The sequence below is a fragment of the Homo sapiens genome, chromosome 2 (genome assembly GCF_000001405.40).
Source record: "Homo sapiens chromosome 2, GRCh38.p14 Primary Assembly".
NCBI lineage: Eukaryota > Metazoa > Chordata > Mammalia > Primates > Hominidae > Homo > Homo sapiens.
In genome coordinates, this window is record NC_000002.12 from 186,242,453 (window position 1) to 186,263,566 (window position 21,114).

At 34.5% G+C, this 21,114-nt stretch overlaps 1 pseudogene, besides 1 other annotated feature; it reads right to left on the reverse strand.

Annotated features, from left to right (window-relative positions):
* Positions 13,234-13,890: an enhancer, noted in NCBI's record as "OCT4-NANOG-H3K27ac hESC enhancer chr2:187120413-187121069 (GRCh37/hg19 assembly coordinates)". NCBI's record gives its function as "activates a minimal SCP1, AML or CMV promoter by ChIP-STARR-seq in primed H9 embryonic stem cells {active_cell/tissue: H9 hESC(primed)}" and the evidence as "EXISTENCE:reporter gene assay evidence [ECO:0000049][PMID:30033119]".
* On the reverse strand, positions 18,913-19,338 carry RPL23AP35 (ribosomal protein L23a pseudogene 35; annotated as a pseudogene).

A 21,114-nucleotide genomic window follows, 5' to 3' on the forward strand; every position in this document is an offset into this window, starting at 1 on the left:
ATGCATATGGTCTCAATTTTCAATGGTAAGAACAGAATTTCTAAGCTTTTTCTTTTTTTTTTTTTTTTTTTTTTGAAACAGAGTCTCGCTCAGTCACCAGGCTGGAGTGCAGTGGTGTGATCTCAGCTCACTGCAACCTCCACCTCCCAGGTTCAAGCTATTCTCCTGCCTCAGCCTCCTGAGTAGCTAAGACTACAGGTGCATGCCACCATGCCCAGCTATTTCTTTTTTTTTTTTTTTTTTGTAGAGACAGGGTTTCACCACATTGGCCAGGATGGTCTTGATCTCTTGACCTTGTGATCCACCCACCTCGGCCTCCCAAAGTGCTGGGATTACAGACATGAGCCACAGCACCGAGCCTCTAAGCTCGTTTTTAAGTCTTATAGAAAACTAGTATTACAGAATACCATGTTAGGCTGCTGGTGTCTGTGACGTGTTTGAGTTGTCAGAGCCAGTTGAGGTTGTTTTCCTAAAACTTTTAGCTATTCTGTTAAAGCATAAATGGTTGAGACTTCTAAAGCTCCTGAGACTTGGTCTCCTTATCTTCAACATGGAAAAGCACTTCTATTGAAGTATTGTACAAAATCAAATAGCCACTAAGTGACAAAACTGTGCTGCAAACTCAATCTGTTGGACTACTAAGCCTTCCACCACACCACCTTGCCCTACATATTCTCAACTTTTTGTTGAAATAACTGAAATCTTAAATAAAATAATATATATGAAAGCACTTTCTAGAACATAGCACATTGTGGGTAATAGGCATCAGTATGTATTAATGTCCTTAATTTGTGAGGATTATTGTTCTCCTACATAATTTCAATGACAAAGAAAAAAGGATCTAAATAATAGAAGATATCTAAGTCAAACCCATCACAAACATTCTGAGTTCTTCTCTCCTCCTTGCAATTTAAATAATACACATCTATTATTAGTAGAGAGGTAGGAGTGGCAGTAAGGTATAAGGACACAAAATGTTCTTTGGAATCTAGGATTTAAAAGGCAAGAATTTAAGAACTTCTGCACATATGTTTAATGTTCAAATACTTTGATAAACTGTGAATACAGCTTTTGTGTTTCTATTAGTTGACTTTTGTTCCGTTATCACCCACAATTCCAGAAGAATTCTCTGTCACCAGCAAATGAGTTAAGTATTCTTTTGCAGTTAACTTACAAGTCAAACTCAAAGCTCTATGTTAAAGTAACAGTGAAAGCATTTGTCCTTGAACCTCTTATATTGGGTGACAGCAAGAAAGCATGGAAAGAGGATATAAAGTGAAACTGAAAACAAGCAAGATTGCTAATAGTGAATGGATAGATCCTGGCATTATCATTTATTTCAATGGCAACAGCCCAATGTTCTTACAATTTCATGTCTTACATAGAAAAAGCTTGGAAAAGTTGCTGTAAATAAGGCTAGATTGTTCATTAAATGTGCATTTATTTAAACAAATGTTCCCAAGCTCAGCTACTAAATTTACATATTTTTGCAGGAATACTTCACTATTTCACCAACTCACTACCAGGATTCGGAAAGTTGGCGCATTTTCTTTACCTGGAGAATATTAAAGCATCATCCTTAATAAGCTTGTTCTGGTCTTCAGGTACCTCCCATTCTTGTAAATATTGACTGCTCCTTTAACATGGCAGTAACATTTACGGAAGTGTCAAATTTAGACTGATGCTTGATGGGGGAATAAATAAAACTTTAGACTAAGTCAGTTAAGACTGCTGTCAGCTGCATTTAATAGGAACTTTACTGTGGTATTATTCATTTGTAACAAAAGGTTCATTGGTGAGCAATTCAGGACCAGTAAGGCTAAGGAGTCACTGAGGACCCAGTTCCTTATAACTTACTGTTATATCATCCTTACGATGAGGCTTCTATTCTTATGATTGTAAGATGGCTATTCCATTTTAAGATATCATATCACATCCCAAGCAGGAAGCAGGGGAAGGATGATGGGCAAAAAGCAAAAGGTACACACTAGCTGAGTATGGACCATTTCCAAATATTCCCTGACATTTCACCCAGCAGTTTTTCCTTATAGTCATAGCATCCAAACTCTGTGTCAAGTTACCTAATGGTACCCTAGCGAATTCACGGGGAAGGAGGGGTGGTGACAGGATATTTTAAATTTTTGAGGAAAACATGGTAATATTCAACATTTAATAAGACACTGCGTGAACTACTAGCTTGAGAAAATTCAGTTTTAACATTTGTTTTTACCAGGTTGAAATGAAGTATCTTAGGAAAACTGCATTTTTAGTGAATACTATTGTATAAAAAATGCAAGTACCATGTGAAAATCAATATAGAACAGGTTATGAGGATAGTGGCGTCCAATTTGATTCCAAGACTTGAAAAGTTGCACACCAAAGGACCATCTTTTCCAAAGATGACATACGTGTGGCCAAGAAACATATGAAAAAAGCTCTACATTACTGATCATGAAGAAATGCAAATCACACTAGTCAGAACAGCTATTATTAAAAAGTCAAAAGATAACATGCTGGTGAGGTTGTTGAGAAAAAGAATGCCTTATACACTCTTGGTGGGAGTGTAAATTAGGTCAACTATTGTGGAAGACAGTGTGGTGATTCCCCGAAGACATAAAGACAGAAATATCATTTGATCCAGCAATCCCATTACTGGGCCTAAACCCAAAGGAATATTAGACATTACATTATAAAGACACATGCACGTGTATGTTCATTGCAGCACTATTTACAATAGCAAAGACATAGAATCAACCTAAATGCCCATCAATGATAGAATGGATAAAGAAAATGTGGTACATATAATACACCATGGACTACCACACAGCCATAAAAAAGAATAAAACCATGTCCTTTGCAGGGACATAGATAGAGCTGGAGGCCATTATCCTTAGCAAACACAAGAACAGAAAACCAAACACCGCATGTTCTCATTTATAAGTGGGAGCTAATTGATGAGAACACACAAACACATAGAGAGAAACAACTTACACTGGGGCCTACTTGAAGGTAGAGAGAGGGAGGAGGCAGTGGATCGGAAAAATAGTAATGAGTACTAGGCTTAATACCTGCGTGATGAAATAATAAATACAACAAACCTCCATGACACAAGTTTACCTAGGTAACACACCTGCACATGTACCCCTGAACTTAAATTTTTTTAAAAAAAGAAAAGTTATGTCACATTCACGTCACTAACTTCTAATAGGTAATTTTGGTTGGTAAAGACTGAAATTAAAATAGGTTTTTGTCAATTTATATATATTAGTTCTTCAAATGGCTGCTGCTAGCTTGTTAGAATAGAGATAAGTATTAAGTGATTTGAATTAAACCACTTAATACAACTGTTAGGATTTCTTTTGGTTTAAGGGTGCCATAAAAAATTACTGAGGCACTAAAAGCAGTGACAAAGAAAGTTTGGTAAATGCTGCCTTATACCTTTAGCCATCTCTAGCTGCAGGAAAAGTGGGAAGGTTAGAACTTTTGTTAGACACAAAACCAGAGTTCTGCTAATAAGGAAAAAGGAGATAATTAATATTAAGCAGGCAGCAAGCAATGCCTGCCACACAGATCAAAATTTTAATGCTACAGTTAATTTTTTTATTTTTATAACATTTTATTTCCAAGTCCAAGCAAATGACAATTCAATAATTTGAAAAAATATGATAAATTAGCAGTCAATGCTCATGCTTGCTATTTACATATTTGAATACATTTTTTTCTGTATTTTCAAAAGTCAACATCACTTAATTAGTTTGTTATTATATATTAGTTAATATGTTATGATTCTTAAGTTATGTGAAGTATGTTAATTTTCACTATCACTTACAAAGGATCAAATAATTGAGGGTTAAATCAAGTGCATTTATGGAGTTTCATTAACATTTGCCAAAATTGCATCCCAATAATTAAGAGAGTCAGTTCAGCTTTCCAAACTCAACAAAGGAAGTAATTTAGAAATCAGAAATTTAAGATTCTATATCTAGTATTGAAAAAAGTTTAAGTGGTTAGTGAAAGAGCTTAAAATTGGCATTCATATATGTTAAATTCATTCTCTGTCAATAACCTGGGGCTATATTGAGTTAAGGGAGGCAATAACTACCAAGGAATAGAGTTCTTGAGGACTCTATGTTACCATACCATATATATTGTATAATGACAATTGTAATGCAAGTACATAAAAGAAATAACCAAGTAGTACTTAAGGAACTAAAACACCCATCCTAAATTTTACTTCGGCAAATTGATATTCATTTAGATTACAGAACATTAGTATAATGCGTTTCTTTGTAATCACACCCAGAATTACTTAGACTGTAAAATATACAATGACTACATCAGGCTGAAGACTACAGCCAAAACATAAAATACATAGAGTAACTAGCATATTTAAGAAAAAAAAATACCCTTGATAAATTTGACAGAAACTTTATTCCAAGCCAAAATTTGTTACCTAAGTCTATAAAAACTGATTGATGTATGGTACACTTTATGATGTGAATTGAATCTCCTCTCCTCCAAATATAAAAGAAAATTTAAAAAAGGTAAAAAGATAAACTCAGACTGGAAAACCCATTATATCTGGAAGGCTCTGATTATCCATATTGTTTGATTAATATAATGTGGAGTTATTAATACTAATAATCCACACCTTTAAATATCCAGCTTTCAGATTAAACCAACGTCACTGTGGTGAAAGACCTGAAATAAGTATTATGTGCCTCTCTGACATCTAAGCCTGGGAAGGACTAGCTACTCAGGAGGCTGAGGCAGGAGAATCATTTAAGCTCAGGAGTTTGAGGTTACAGTTATGATCATGCCACTGCACTCCAGCCTGGGTGACAGAGCAAGACTCTGTCTCTAAAAAAAATAAAAATAAAAATAATGAAATAATTAAAAAATAATGTCTTTATATGTTACTTGGTACAATGCAATTTTTGGACGCAAATTTAAAAGTCAGTCACTAAAATTGCATGGCAGGACTTACAGGTGAGATCCAGCTAGTGCAGAAACTGCATTTATTAAAATTTTTCATTATAAACATTTTGAAAACTATGCTGGGGGATGTACGGACACCTGGCTTAGCTCTTCCTAGTAATACTAGGAATCAAAAATTATTATCTCAACTTCAGTATGTACTAATAAAATAAAGTATAAAAACTACTAATCAAAACAAATTTAAAAATTAATATTAAAAACTGAACTTGAAAACAAATTCCATTTCAATTTGATATAAATTATACTAAAGCTTAATTATATATAAAACAAATTTCCTAAGTCTATTTAGCAAAATAACAAAAATAACTTAGCCACTTCCTCCAGAAAATACTTCTTCCAGTAAGATAAAATTGTAAGCCATCTAAAACAGCTTATTTATCAAGATTAACAGCTAGTTCATCAAGACTATTCTGATAACAGTTTGCTCATTAAGATATGCATCTAATCCCTCACCCTATTGTGCCTGCCAATTTAAAGCTATTAGATTGGTATATTATAAACTTTCCCAGTCTGACTCAGTTCCCCAAGTTGTAAAGCCTACCTTTTCAAATCACCCGATTCAGGCCCAAAGATTCTATGTTTTCTTTCCTAAATGACTCCCTTTTTATATGCTGCTAAGACCCTGTCAATGTAGTGTTGTCTGTGTTGCAATAAGTACAATAAACTTTTTCAACAGTTTTTTTTCTGGAGATCTTTATGGGGGCTTTTTGCATAATTTTACAAGAAAGGAAATTGAGACCCAAAGAGGTTACACATAATAAAAAGCAGAGTAAGATAACCTGTAAAGTTAAGCTCTTAAATAATTCTACTGTCCCTCTGAAATTAATGGGAACAACATTAAAGCATCTAAAGGCATGATTCCATGCATAAACTCCAGTAACTATGTACTTTGTTATTGGGGTGATCATATAATTAACCATCTCAGCTGGGACATTTTAAGAGTGAAGAGAATTGGTAATTCTATTGAGACATAGCATGTACCAGATCTGAAGCTAGCAAACTAAAATATATGGTCATCATCTCTCTCTCACACATTTTTAAGCCCAAAGAGAATGATTTCTAAAAATCTCTAGCCATGAGACAAATAAGGCAGAAGTGCAGAAAAGAAATAAAAAATATTTATAAAGCATGGAAAATATTTTGATACATCACAAATAGTTACTTTTCAATTTGTCCAAGGGCCAAAATATTTTTTGTAAAAATACATGCACACCCTTTGTTACAATTTGCGAGTTGAACTAAGTATTATATATAAAATAACATCCAAAATATTTAAATTACTTTTAATGAGTCATTCATTGTTCACTTGGTAATGAACATGACTAAAAGGTGATTTCTTTTGGAATTGCCTCATTCTCCTAGGCAAAACATTAGAGATTTTTTCATAGTTCTTCGTTTCTACTAAGTTAAACTTATTTAGAGCCAGGCAAAAAGTGCTGAGAGAACAAAATGTTTCCCCAGTCAGTTGAAAATGTAAGCGCTTGAGTGGTTATTGCGTGAAATAAAACAACAAAAAAAGGAGTATATTGTGATTGGGGAGATGTTAAGGAGTCAAATAAATAATACTTGTTTCTTCCCCTCCTAGGTCTGAAAGCAACTGAGAGATAGACTCAAGTTGCACTCAAAATATCTAGTGAAAAAGATAGGAAAATATGGTTTTGACTTGCACTTTCAGTTAGACCCCCTAATATTTCACCCTGAATAAGACAGACATATCTTGAGGCAAAGGCAGTACTGGGATGTTTTGGGTTTCACCCCCAAAGTCAGGCAGCAAGATCCAAATTCAAGCACCCTGCAGTGGTCAAGCTGAAGAACACAAGAAGCAGAGTGAGAAAAGGAATCAATTGCCCAGTTCTTCTTTTGAAACATAACAAGTAAGTCTCTCTTCCTCGGAGGAATGAATGAAATGGGGAGAAAGAAATGAAGATTAAGCTCCATGAAGTTCCTCCATGTGGAAGCAAAGGCCAGGGATACAGAGGTTTCCCTCTAACAAAATGATGTGTGCAGCCAGGTGCAGTGGCTCATGTCTGTAATCTCGGCACTTTGTGAGGCCAAGGTGGGAGGATCACTTGAGCCCAGGAGTTTGAGACCACTCTGGACAACATGGCGAAACCCTGTCTCTACAAAAAAATACAATAAAATTAGCCAGGAGTGGTGGTGCACACCTGTGGTCCCAGCTACTCGGGAGGCTGAGGTGGGAAGGCTGCTGGAGCCCAGGAAGTTGAGACTCCAGTGAGCCATGATCTGCCACTGAACTCCAGCCTGGATGACAGAGCAAGATCCTGTAAAAAAAAAAAAAAAAAAATAGATAAAAGAAAAGATGTGTGCTTCAATGTTCTTTATAATTTATATTTTACTATTAAGGAAATTCCTAGGAAACACCAACTTACACTAAAATTTGATATTTAAGTAGTTTTAATTTTTATTTCCAGACAAAATTTGGAAAATAATTTTACAAAGGAAATAAATGTTAGTCTACGTGTGTATATATTTTTGTTCTTCTAAGAAACCATTGGCAGAAAGTAAATTCAAGAACTTTCATTGAAACTCCTATAGACTATGAACATAAGAAAATAGCCATATGATTATGAAAAATAATTAAATGTGAAAACAGTATAGATTATATTTCCACAACCATCTGAATGTGGTAGAGAATAGAACTGATAGAATCAAATAAAAATTCCAGAAGATGTAGAATATTTGGCCAGGCCTTAAAATTATAGAGTTTTCAGTAAAGAGTAAAATAAGCTACTTTTGAGAGGAATGTGACCGTATTTACATAGACAGTAATGCTCATGCCTGTAGTACTACCACAGTGGACAAAATTCTGAATAACCTCTTTTGTATTGTTTAACAAATGGTGGTCTAATTTCCATTTCTGGTCCTACAAAGTCTCTCTTCATGTGACAGTTAAACATCAAGAAACTGTAATAGTCCCTGAAACATTGAAGGACACTTTCTGTAAGTGCCAGAATTACTAATGTTTTATGGCCATCATAACACCTTAAGTAGACTCTAGTTTGATTAAATTGGTTCTGTGACTTACCACAGCAATTAACTTAAAGCTAAGTATGATTTTAAGAATAACCTTCTGACTGAATATTGATAACAGGTTTTGAAAATTCAAATTTTTATCAATATTTGGTAAGTAAAATATATTTAAAATCATCCATGCTTGTAATTGTAATTAAATTGGGATAAACTATCCAAATTTCTCAAAATATGGCATTTTGTATAATCTTCATCCCAGGCTTCATCTAAGCATCAAAATAACTAAATTTTGTTGAGCACTAAAGGAAAAATATATTTTGTTAGAGTCTGTTTTTTAGATCCACACTTTTTTACTCCATTAAAGTAATTTCTTCTCAATTGTTGCAATTATTTTGACAAAAATTTGTATTGTATTATAATCACCCAAAGTCATTTCAATATATCAGCTGCTAACAAAAGTTAACGATAATTTAGTATGCACAACTGAACAGTAACAAGTACTGTGTGGTCACTTATTAAAATTACTTCAACATAGTCCTGCTTATGTAACTATGACATAATATTAGAATTATCCCTATAGCAGAAAGTAAGATAAATATCAAATTTCACATTGAAGTTAAAAACTTGTTTTCTACTTCTTAATTTCATTTTTATATCAGGATTGTTCCCTCATTCAGAGAATGATGTTATTTTGTTGCTATAGTAATTAGGAGAGGGTATTAGATTAATAGAGTTCCATTTTCAGTAATACTCCAAAAATGTCTCCACATTTTGTACTCTAATATCTCCTTCAGTTCCAAGAAGACACTGTTCAAACTGTATCCTTGATATAGAGGAAAAAACATTAGCTTTATCAATTTATAATCCATGATGGTTCCAGGAGATTCCATTTCAGAGCGAATTTTATCTCAAATTTGATCCCAGCAATATTGGAGCTATATACTATTGAACACACATATAAAATTAAATTACCAGTTTAATTTAATTGATTAGAAACATATATTCTTCTCCTATTGCAAAACATAATAAAAACAATTATTTTCTCTTCAGCAGTATCAAATTGGAATTAATATAAAATTCTTCAACCCAAAGCAATCATAATAGATTATAATTAATAGATCTGAATACAGTATGATGTATACTCTAAAGAGAATTTCTACTAATAGAAATTGGTTTGCATTTAATCAATCAAAAGTTATAAGTTATCTGACTTAACCAGAATTACCTAATACCATTCCTTCCTGAGCCCTGCCTCTTAACATCTGTCTCTTTCTAGAAATCACCTTTGGCTGTTCCTACTTTTCAAACCTTATCAAGTTTTCAAGACCCAGTTCAAGACCCATATCACCCATGAAGTTATCCCTGGTCTCCTCAGTCTAAGTAAGCTTTCTTTCTCCCCTGAAAGCATACAGATCCAATTATATAATTCACCTAGCTTTATCTTCTTTTTTCTTGAATTATTAGTTATATTTTCATAGATCTCTAGACACATAAATATATAGAGATATGGTTTGCTTCCCCAATTAGACCAAACACTCTGTAAGGAATCAGACTTCTTATCCAAGATTATCTACTCTATGGACAGAATGAAGCAATAAGAGGAATTATATACTCTATAAACTTTCAAGATAGAAATAAACACAGTTTTGCATTGATGTTCATCAGGAATATTGGTCTAAAATTCTCTTTTTTTTGTTGTGTCTCTGCCAGGCTTTGGTATCAAGATGATGCTGACCTCATAAAATGAATGAGGGAGGATTCCCTCTTTTTCTATTGATTGGAATAGTTTCAGAAGGAATGGTACCAGCTCCTCCTTGTACCTCTGGTAGAATTCGGCTGTGAATCCATCTGGTCCTGGATTTTTTTTGGTTGGTAAGCTATTAATTATTGCCTCAATTTCAGAGCCTGTTATTGTTCTATTCAGAGATTCAACTTCTTCCTGGTTTAGTCTTGGGAGGGTGTATGCGTTGAGAAATTTATCCATTCAAACTATACTACAAGGCTACAGTAACCAAAACAGCATGGTACTGGTACCAAAATAGAGATATAGACCAATGGAACAGAACAGAGCCCTCAGAAATAATGCCACATATCTACAACCATCTGATCTTTGACAAACCTGAGAAAAACAAGCAATGGGGAAATGACTCCCTATTTAACAAATAGTGCTGGGAAAACTGGCTAGCCATATGTGGAAAGCTGAAACTGGATCCCTTCCTTACACCTTATACAAAAATTCATTCAAGATGGATTAAAGACTTAAATGTTAGACCTAAAACCATAAAAACCCTAGAAGAACACCTAGCCAATACCATTCAGGACATAGGCATGGGCAAGGACTTCATGTCTAAAACACCAAAAGCAATGGCAACAAAAGTCAAAATTGACAAATGGGATCTAATTGAACTAAAGAGCAGAATTCTGCACAGCAAAAGAAACTACCATCAGAGTGAACAGGCAACCTACAAAATGGGAGAAAATTTTTGCAATCTACTCACCTGTCAAAGGGCTAATATCCAGAATCTACAATGAACTCAAACAAATTTACAAGAAAAAAACAACCCCATCAAAAAGTGGGTGAAGGATATGAACAGACACTTCTCAAAAGAAGACATTTATGCAGCCAAAAGACACATGAAAAAATGCTCATCAGAACTGGCCCTCAGAGAAATGCAAATCAAAACCACAATGAGATACCATCTCACACCAGTTAGAATGGCAATCATTAAAAAGTCAGGAAACAACAGGTGCTGGAGAGGATGTGGAGAAATAGGAACACTTTTACACTGTTGGTGGGACTGTAAACTAGTTCAACCATTGTGGAAGTCAGTGTGGCGATTCCTCAGGGATCTAGAACTAGAAATACCATTTGACCCAGCAATCCCATTACTGGGTATATGCCCAAAGGATTATAAATCATGCTGCTATAAAGACACATGCACACGTATGTTTATTGCGGCACTATTCACAATAGCGAAGACTTGGAACCTAGCCAAATGTCCAACAATGATAGACTGGATTAAGAAAATGTGGCACATATACACCATGGAATACTATGCAGCCATAAAAAATGATGAGTTCATGTCCTTTGTAGGGACATGGATGAAGCTAGAAACCATTATTCTCAGCAAACTCTCACAAGGACAAAAAACCAAACACTGCATGTTCTCACTCATAGGTGGGAATTGAACAATGAGGACACATGGACACAGGAAGGGGAACATCACACACTGGGGACTGTTGTGGGGTGGCGCGAGGGATAGCATTAGGAGATATACCTAATGTTAAATGATGAGTTAATGGGTGCAGCACACCAACATGGCACATGTATACATATGTAACTAATCTGCACATTGTGCACATGTACCGTAAAACTTAAAGTATAATAAAAAAAAGAAATAAACACAGTTTATAAGATGAGGACTTGTCCTATCATGTATCCATCACTAAGTTATTTTACTTGATACAAAGGTGACCAATAAATATTTGTTTAACAATCTACTTATTCAAAATGGCACTCATCTTTTAATGTATAAATTTCCTAAGAAATAAGGTATTCTGACTTGGTTTTTTCCTGCCATACATGTATGTTATACATCACTACAGCAAGTGGCTCAAGTGGACTGCCTAATAGTCTTATCATCTGAAAATCTCTGATTGTCACTAAAAAAACTACTGCATTGGAGTAATAAGTAATTCATCACCTCTAATCTCAATTAAGTAATCTAAATAGACTCTCAAGTTGTTGTTGGAATCAATAAGCCATAAAAATAATAACATGGATATTTACCTTAAGTTGTTTCTATTTTGTTTTACAGTAAAAATTCTTTGTAGAAATACATGTTAGAATTCATTGTTTAAAGTTCATCTTTAAACTGATCAAGTATCTACTTGTTACATTAGGTCCCAAGTAATATACTGTAAGCATATATAGGTCAATACACTTTGTAAATTTCTGCAGCCAAAATATTCACTCTAATCCAAGCCTTTCAAATGGATTCTATTGCTCACAAATCTAGAAAAGACAAGAAATCAAATTTCTTTTCTTCTTAAATGACATCACAACTCAAAGACCTCTACGTTCTAATAATTCTTCACTAACAATTTTCTTCTTTTTCTAAGAATAAGAAATTATATACCAAAGAAAGATTCAAAGTTCCCTGCTTCTTCTAAATATTCAAGACAAATAAAAATATGCAAGATGAATGGAAAAAATAAAATCAATACCAAGATTTAATAGTATCAATTCATTCAGTCCGTATTGGTAGGTAAGGAAGGACTGTGAAAACCTCTTTCCACTTGCTCTTAACTCTCAGCAGAAAATGGAAACAAATTTTACAATAGAGACGTAACCACAACCAAATGTATTTTATATATTTCAGAGAAGCAATATGGAATAGTTGGGTTAAATGTGTCTCTGATGTCAGACTTTCCGGGTTTGAATGCCAGCTCTGCCTCTCTTTAGCACAGTAATGCTGGATAATTTACTAACCCTATCTGTGTTTCAATTTCCTCATATGTAAGATAGGAATAATAACAGAACCTGCCTCATAGATATGTTAGGAGGAGGTACTCCATGTAAATCACTTGGCATAGTACCTGGTACATATTAAGCAACACTTGATAAGCATTAGCTAAATGTAAATTGCAATTGCCTTTTAAGTTTTAATATCCCTATTTAAAAAAAAATAGTTGATTGCTTTTACTAACTAAGCCAGAAAAGGGAGTACTTTTTAAAAATTTAAAAACCTATCATTTTCTCTCAATGAATCAATACATGGACAAAAGGTAGATGTCAAAATGAACCTAAATGAGGAGAAGGGCAAAATAACAAAACAGTTCATGAAAAAAAAATAAGTACTAGGCCAGTCAACGGTCGCTCACACCTGTAATCCCAGCACTTTGGGAGGCTGAGGCAGGCAGATTACCTGAGGTCAGGAGTTCGAGGGCAGTCTGGCCAATGTGGTAAAACTCCATTTCTATTAAAAATACAAAAATTAGGCCGGGTATGGAGGCTCACGCCTGTAATCCCAGCACTTTGGGAGGTCAAGGCAGGTGGATCACCTGAGGTTGGGGGTTCAAGACCAGCCTGACCAACATGGAGAAACCCTGTCTCTACTAAAAATACAAAATCAGCTGGGCATGGTGGCACATGCCTGTAATCCCAGCTACTTGGTAGGCTGAAGCAGGAGAATTGCTTGAACCAGGAAGGCAGAGGTTGCCTTGAGCCGAGATCATGCCATTGCACTCCACTCTGGGGAACAAAAGCAAAACTCTGTCTCAAAAAAAAAAAAAAAAACCCAGCCATGTTGGTGGCCGGCGCCTGTAATCCCAGCTACACAGGAGGCTGAGGCAGGAGAATCGCTTGAACCTGGGAGGCAGAGGTTGCAGTGAGCCGAGGTCACACCATTGCACTCTAGCCTGGGCAACAAGAGTGAAACTCTGTCTCCAAATAAATAAATACATACATACATACATACATACTAACTCACTGGGAAACATTCCTGATTCGGCCTAATTGCCTTGCCTTTGACATCCTACCGGTCAAACCAGTCAGTGACCTGAATTAAGCCCAGCTGTTTGGCCCACATTACCATGCTAATGGCACCTGGGATCTAATTTACATCTGCGTGTCTTCACTGTTTGCTTCTTAAGTAAATACATCTGGGAAAGTTCTATACCTACAAACAAGCTTCCCACCAATCTTGTTTCCTTGCCTATAAAGGATTTTGCAAAGATTGCAGTAAACTTCTCTTACAAAATGTCTCATAACAAGTACAGAGGTGTCAACAGCACTCTCATTATAAAAAGAACTCTGATTTAACAGATGAAAGTGTTAAGAAGGCATTCTATTAGTGACATCCATTAATCTTAGGTTAAAGTGTATATTTTGGCAGTTTATTTTCTCTGCTTTAAGTGAACAATTAGTTTAATCAAAGTCATTTGTGAAACAGTTTGATTTTTCTTAATTAATGTCTGCTAAATTTACTTATAATAGACACACTCTGTTGCTAGAACCAAAACAGATATATTGCATGGTTATTAATTTCCAGTTAGCACTGTACAAAATTATTGAGTTGGAATATTTTCTGCCAATGTAGTTTTATTATTTTTTTTTCAAATGAATAATGTGGGAATGTAACTGGCACACCCATCCAATGAATGTAGTAGTTTTTCAGTGCCTGTCAACTTGAAGACAGTGCTTCCTTCATGAGACTCCAGAGAAAATTTAGCAAGATTAGGAGACACACAATGTAACTACAGTATACTTTTTTCTTTTACACATTCTGTACACAATAGTGACATCTTCTGGTTGACTGGAATATAGATGTTTGGGCCAACGCTTTGAAACCATGTCTTAACTCCTTTTCTAATCAAAACATGCTTTGCTTGCCTAAAGATACTATGGGAAATATCCCTGAATCAGTAGTAAATCATCTTTTAATAGATACCATCAAAATTCCAATTTAAGTTTTTTAGAATAAAACATAATAAAAGAACATACTTATTTTTTTCAAAACAAATTTATGACTGGTTAATTGATGAAATTAACTGACCTTAAAAATTCACTTGACACAATAAACAAGTCTGGTTTTTAAGCATCTGCTATGGAAATTTCACTTTCTAGGAAATTTAGTGACCACTGAAATAAATAATAAAAAAGAGAAAATTTCACCAAAATGATATTTTCAAGTCATTTCTAGTGAGCAGTGAGAGAGATTTGGTGGTCTGGGAGGAGGATGAGCCTAATGCTAGTGATATTCCTTTCCTCTCTGACTTTTTTCATAAAATTCTATCTATTCCTATGCAGAGCATCGTGGTCCCTGGGGATGCTTTAAGGGTGCTGTTCTTAGTGCTAAACTCTCATTTCACCTATGCAACCCTCTCCTAGTACAGGCAGCCAACCCAGAGCAGCACTGCATTCAGACTGGTTGTGGTGATTTCAACCCCAGGGTCCCAGGATAGCAATCTCTTCCATGAGGACTGAGCCAGGCACTGGCAGCTAAATATAAAATACTTATCTTATGATCCCTTTCCCCAGACTATAGGGGAAGGGTGACCTCAGTAATTTCAAGGTGATTTTCTTGAACCTCTCTTACTACAAAAGATGGAGGGTACTACATATACTTGTCATAAATCAATTAAGTATAATAAATACCAGAGAATTCTAACCAAAGACTAATGCAAACTTAACTTCCTATTAGAAATTATTCGTTAAAAACAAGAGGAATATTTAAGAGAAATAGAATATTGTTCCATCAGTCATTAATACAATGAAACAATAAGCATTATAAATTCCCATAATGCAATTTTAAAAGATAATTTAATCTTATAGAAATATAATCTTGGCCGGGCTGATTATAAAAATATAATCAGCACTTTGGGAGGCTGAGGCAGGCAGATCACCTGAGGTCAGGAGTTAGAGACCAGCCTGACTAACATGGAGAAACCTCGTCTCTACTAAAAATATAAAATTAGCCAGGCATGGTGGCTCATGCCTGTAATTCCAGCTACTCAGGAGGCTGAGGCAGGAGGATCACTTGGATCCGGGAGGCAGAGGTTGCAGTGAGCTGAGATCACGACATTGCACTCCAGCCTGGGCAACAAGAGCAAAACTCCATCTCAAAATATATATATATAAAATCTTATAAAGAAAATATATGTTATTTAACTGGTTTAAATAACAATAAATCAGAGAAGCTTATAATTAAAATTATACTAACTATATTTATCCTATCTTGTGGATCAGCTAGTATCTCTTTTAGTAATGACAGCTCTTCACAATCTAGTTATTGTATGTCTAAATGGATATTTGTAAAGAACAAATCGTGAAGATTTTTAATATGAGAAAATATACTGAAGGGAGGAGGAGCACTGCTAGGAAATATATATATATATATATATAAAATATGTATGTGTAAGTATATACACTACATTCTTCTTTAGAGTTAGAAATTGAGGCATCTATGTTTTCTGAAATTACAAATCAAATTGACTAAAGAAACAAGCTATAAATGTTTAATTATCTTTTAAATAATGCATAAAGTATATGATTAATAAGAATTTACTATTACCTTTAAAATTATATACTGAATATGTTTCCAAATTTATAAAAAGTATTCACTCTCAAAAGTCATAGAGATAAGGGCTAAATACAGTGGCTCACACTTGTAATCTCAGCACTTTGGGAGGCCAAGGCAAGTGGATTGCTTGAGCTTTGGAGTTCAAGACCAGCCTAGGCAATATGGTGAAACCCGTCTCTACAAAAAACACAAAAATTAGCTGGGCATGGTAGTGTGCACCTGCAATCCCAGCTACTTGGGAAGCTGAAGTGGGAGGATGGCCTGAGATCGGGAGGTTGAGACTACTGTAAGCCGAGATCGGGCCACTGTGCTCCAGCCTGGGTGACAGAGTGAGAACCTGTCTTAAAATAAAAAGTAATAGAGATCAGCAATTTATTCATTTCCTTACCTAGTCTATAAAAGCAACACAAGTTGTTTCTGATATTGTTATTGCATTATTACTCAGATTTCTAATCTCAGTTTTTAAAAGATATTCTCAATGCAAAGAAATAAATAAGCCTCATAAAATAGCTGTGCCTACCATAGACATTTTTTCAAAAAGAAATTTAAAAAGTCCTCGACATGCATGGTAGTAAAATAAACAAACTATAAATTTATGAATCATTATCTGGTTGATAATAAAAATATCATTATGTACCATGTAAGAAATGCAGAAAATATAAGTTTTGCTTTTAGGTAAATGTATGCAGTCAATTAGCAATTTTACTAAAAAAAATAGGTAAAGGAAATACTAATATTGATTCATTTTATAATTTATAAGAGTTGGAATTAATCAATCAAAGCTACAACATTGAATTCACCTGTACCATGATCTACCTAAACAATTGTATCAACCAAAATAACACATAAGTGATCTAATATCATAAAAACCAAAAATAATCAATTTACATGATTATCAAGAATGCCATTCTAAGATAGCTTCTATGCACTATGATTTGCAATAGCTGTTTCTCTCAAAAGATTAAGTTTATTTTCAAAATAAGAATGCTAAATTTTAAAGATTTTTATACTTTCCAAGTTCTTTGCAAAGTTTAATGTAGTTCCAACCAAAACCACAATGGTATTTTATTTTACTTTATTTAAACATTATCACTCTGTTTTTTTAAATTAACGTTAAAAAATTAATTAATAAACTTTCTGAATATGTATAGTACTTTAGTAAATTTAAAACACTTACTAAAGTACAGTACATATAAAATGAACCAATCACAAGTATTTAACTGCTTTAGCTATACATTTTTAGCCTCACAATTCTAAGAATTTCATAACTCTTTTTCTTAGTTCTATTTTAAAGCAAAGATCATTTAATAGCATTGACCTTGAGACAGTATACTCCACATGGAATTAATTTGGGGGATTTATTGAACCTTTCTTTGTGACCTAGTTTATTATAAAATTTTATAAATATCACATGTGCTTGGAAAGAATATTTCTCCCTCTCCTTGCTGGGTATAAATTTATATATAAGCAAAAGCATGTTATCTGTATTAATTTCTTGCTTACTGCTCTTAGTATCAAATTCTGAGAGGAACATATTAAAATCTCCACCTATATTTGTTGTTTATTTAGTTCTTTCTATAGTTCTGTCAGTTTTTGCTTTACTTACTAGATTGTTGCCTGTGAATATGTTCACAACTATACAATATTTCTTTGTATATATGTAATGTTTTTGCCATGAATTCCATTTTGTCTGAAATTAAACTTACAACCCCTATTTTCTTGATGCAAATCGCCTGATTATTTTATTTTTAAATTTTGTTCATAATTTTGCAGTCATTGTATGCCTGCAAAATTTTTTAAATCCAATCTCAGATTTTCTTCTTGTTAGTTAAGCCCAGATCTAAGCAAAGGTGGCTGATAGAAGAAACTGGAGCAGACCAATGGGAACTTCCTATAGAGAGTGTTACCTTTTGTTTTCCCATGGATTAGTCACCTCTAGCATATAAATTTAATTTTCCCCTACCGACCCTGTAACACTCTTTAATTACACCAACCCTTCTGGCTAAACTGTTGAAAATAAATGTATAGTAAAGAGTTATAGAGTGGTATGTTACTGGATTATCAATGCTCACGATTTTTTTCTTAGTAACCAGCACAGTGTAAAGGTGGTTCCACAAGGAGATGATAGCTGTAGGAAAGACTATCTTACCATGAGGAAAGCCAAAAAGTGGGCAACTCAATAACACAATTAAAAACAAAAATTAAAAACTCAATGATCTGGTACATGTCAGTAGGATATAACTATTCAAATAGGAAAAAATTGACCATCGGTTTACATTTAGAAACACATGTCAGTTTACGTTCTCTAAATATAAAGTCAAAAACGAAGTCATTACTCTTGTTGCACCATATATAAGATGAAGTATTGCTGTGCTTTTACCACCTCAACCCTTTTTCTCTGTTAACTCTATTTGGAAACACAGACCCAGATTACTTTTATTACTATTACCTTTCAAAATACAATCTTCCTTTTAAAAAATTTCTGGAATATGCATTTAATTCTTCAACGATATTTCAAGTTCAAAATTTAACTGATCACAAGTCCTTTCATATCATAATTTCCAATTCTTGAGTTTTCTATTTTAATCCTTTACCTGTTACCTATACTGTTTCTTTAAAAAATCAAGTTTTGCTTTATTGCCCTTTTCTTTGTTGTATTTTTTACAAATTGAAGGCTTGTGGCAACCCTGCATCTAGTGAGTCTATCGGCATCATTTTTCCAACAGCATGTGCTCACTTCGTGTCTCTGTGTCACAGTTTGATAATTCTCCCAATATTTCAAACTTTTTCTTTATTATTATATTTGTTATGGTGATCCGTGATCAGTGATTTCTTTTTCTGATGGAAAAATATATATTATATCTATTTAGAATTATCCATCTGGGCTCAATTTAGATGATACCAATTTTATTGGCAACATCTGAAGCATCACAGTCAGGAGTTAGTGGAATATCTCTGTCTTCTCTCCATCAGGCCTGACCAGGGTGTGACCTCGGCCACATAAATTCACAGATTCTTCGTAGCCTCTTTGATCTGGTGCTTGTTGGCTTTAACATCCACAATGAACACAAGTGTGTTGTTGTCCTCTACCTTCTTCATGGCAGACTCAGTGATCAGATGGAAGATGATGATGGCATAGGCATAGTGAAGCTTGTTTCTCCTGAGGGTGCTCTTCCAAGGATATTTAAGACTATCTCTGGAGCTGCAGTGTCTTGGGCCGCCAGAAGGTGAATGACATGCAGATCGTTGTGTGTGTGTGTGTGTGTGTGTGTGTGTGTGTGTGTGTGTAGTGGCGGATGCCTTTCAGTACTACCTTCTTGACCTCAAAGACTTTGCTTTGGCTTTGAGTTTAGGAGGAGAAGGAGCTTCCTTCTTCACCTTCTGTGCCAACTTGTGAAAAGGAGCCACTATTTGAGGTCACTATTGTAATTGTTTGGGGGCATCAGGAAACACACTCATATAAGACAGCGAACTTAATTGGTAAATTTTGTGTTCTGGTTGCTTCACCGACCAACTATTCCAGTCTCTCTCCCTCTTTTCCGGCCTCCTTGCTTTGGCTCAAATAACAAACATGTATTTATCTTAGTTGTGGATGTAGGAAATCAAAGATCAAGGTCCCTGCAGAGCCCCTATCTGGTGAGTAGCGGCTTCCGGATTTGCATCATCAAGCTGTACCCTCAGAGGGTGGTGAGCACAGAGAGAAGTCCGTTCTTTATCCCTCAGGTAAAGACATGGAGATGGTCACAGAAACCTCCCAGCTATTCTCCAGAAAATCTTATTGTTTTGACTCAGAGGATGGAACTTTCTATCATGTTTCTTAAGCCATCTTCATCAATTTTAAAGAGTATCAAATTACCCTTTCCTTTCTTTCTTGCAGAAACTCTTACTTGCATTTTTCCACTTATTTATGGAGGTTTTATTTTCTATGTCATTGTTAGTGTTCCAGTCAGAGCTGAGAATGACAAATCAGCTCTTTATTAGGCCATCATCCTAAACTGGAAGTTTAACATTTCCAATCATCAGTATCACAGAATCCAATTTTTAATCTTAGTTTGTAGGCTGCTATTCAACTAACCAGCTCTAACTCCCAGATTAATGAAGAAACATCTGAATATTACCTCTCAATTTTTCAGTGATGTGATCATAATAGAATTACCCAATGTTGTAAAAAAAAAAATTAAGTTCAGTAACATCCCAAGCCTGGTTTTCCAGTTAATTTTTTTTTAATTATTAAGCCTGAAAGAAACAAAAAGTATCATAAATAGTTTATGTCTAGAAAAGCAAATACATGAATTCTCTAAGATGTGCTAGAATTATACTTAAATGATTAATTAGGTAGTTTATAAGTACAATATATGTTTATTATTATTCATAAGTAAATTAGTGTTTTGTTGCCAAAAGTAAGGAAGTATTTCTTAAACTGTTGGCTTATTATAAAGGATTAAGGAATGAGCCATGGGCATTATAAAGAACAAATTTGTTTACATTCTTATACCATTTTTAAGAACTAGAGCCTCTTAGAGTTTGAAAGAATTTTAGAGATCACCTAGTTCATCTTCTGTGCAGCATTCTTACTAGTCCCACCTCTATTCCTGACTCTCTTAACTTACTTATCACATTTTAATTTCTGTAAGATCCTCTAGGATGTGGTCTTCAAACCTATGAGAAGCAATAATGGGGCAAAATACAATGTTTACATTATGATATATATCTTGTACATAAAGCTGGATGAATATCTGTTAAAAGAAATAATGAAGCTGGGAGTGATGGCTCAGGCCTGTAATCTAAATGTTTGGGGAGTTTGAAGCTGAAAGACCGCTTGAGCCCAGGTGTTTGAGGTAACAGTGAGCTATGATCACACCATGGCAGTCCAGCCTGGGTGACAGAGTGAGACTGTCTGTGAAAAAGAGATAAAAATAAAAGACATAATTACTAGCTGAACACAGGCACTCATCTTTAAAAGCCCAAGCATATGTCTTCATCCTACCAAGGATTTCTATGTAAATGCATTTACTAAGTATTTAAAAAATCTATTTTGTGT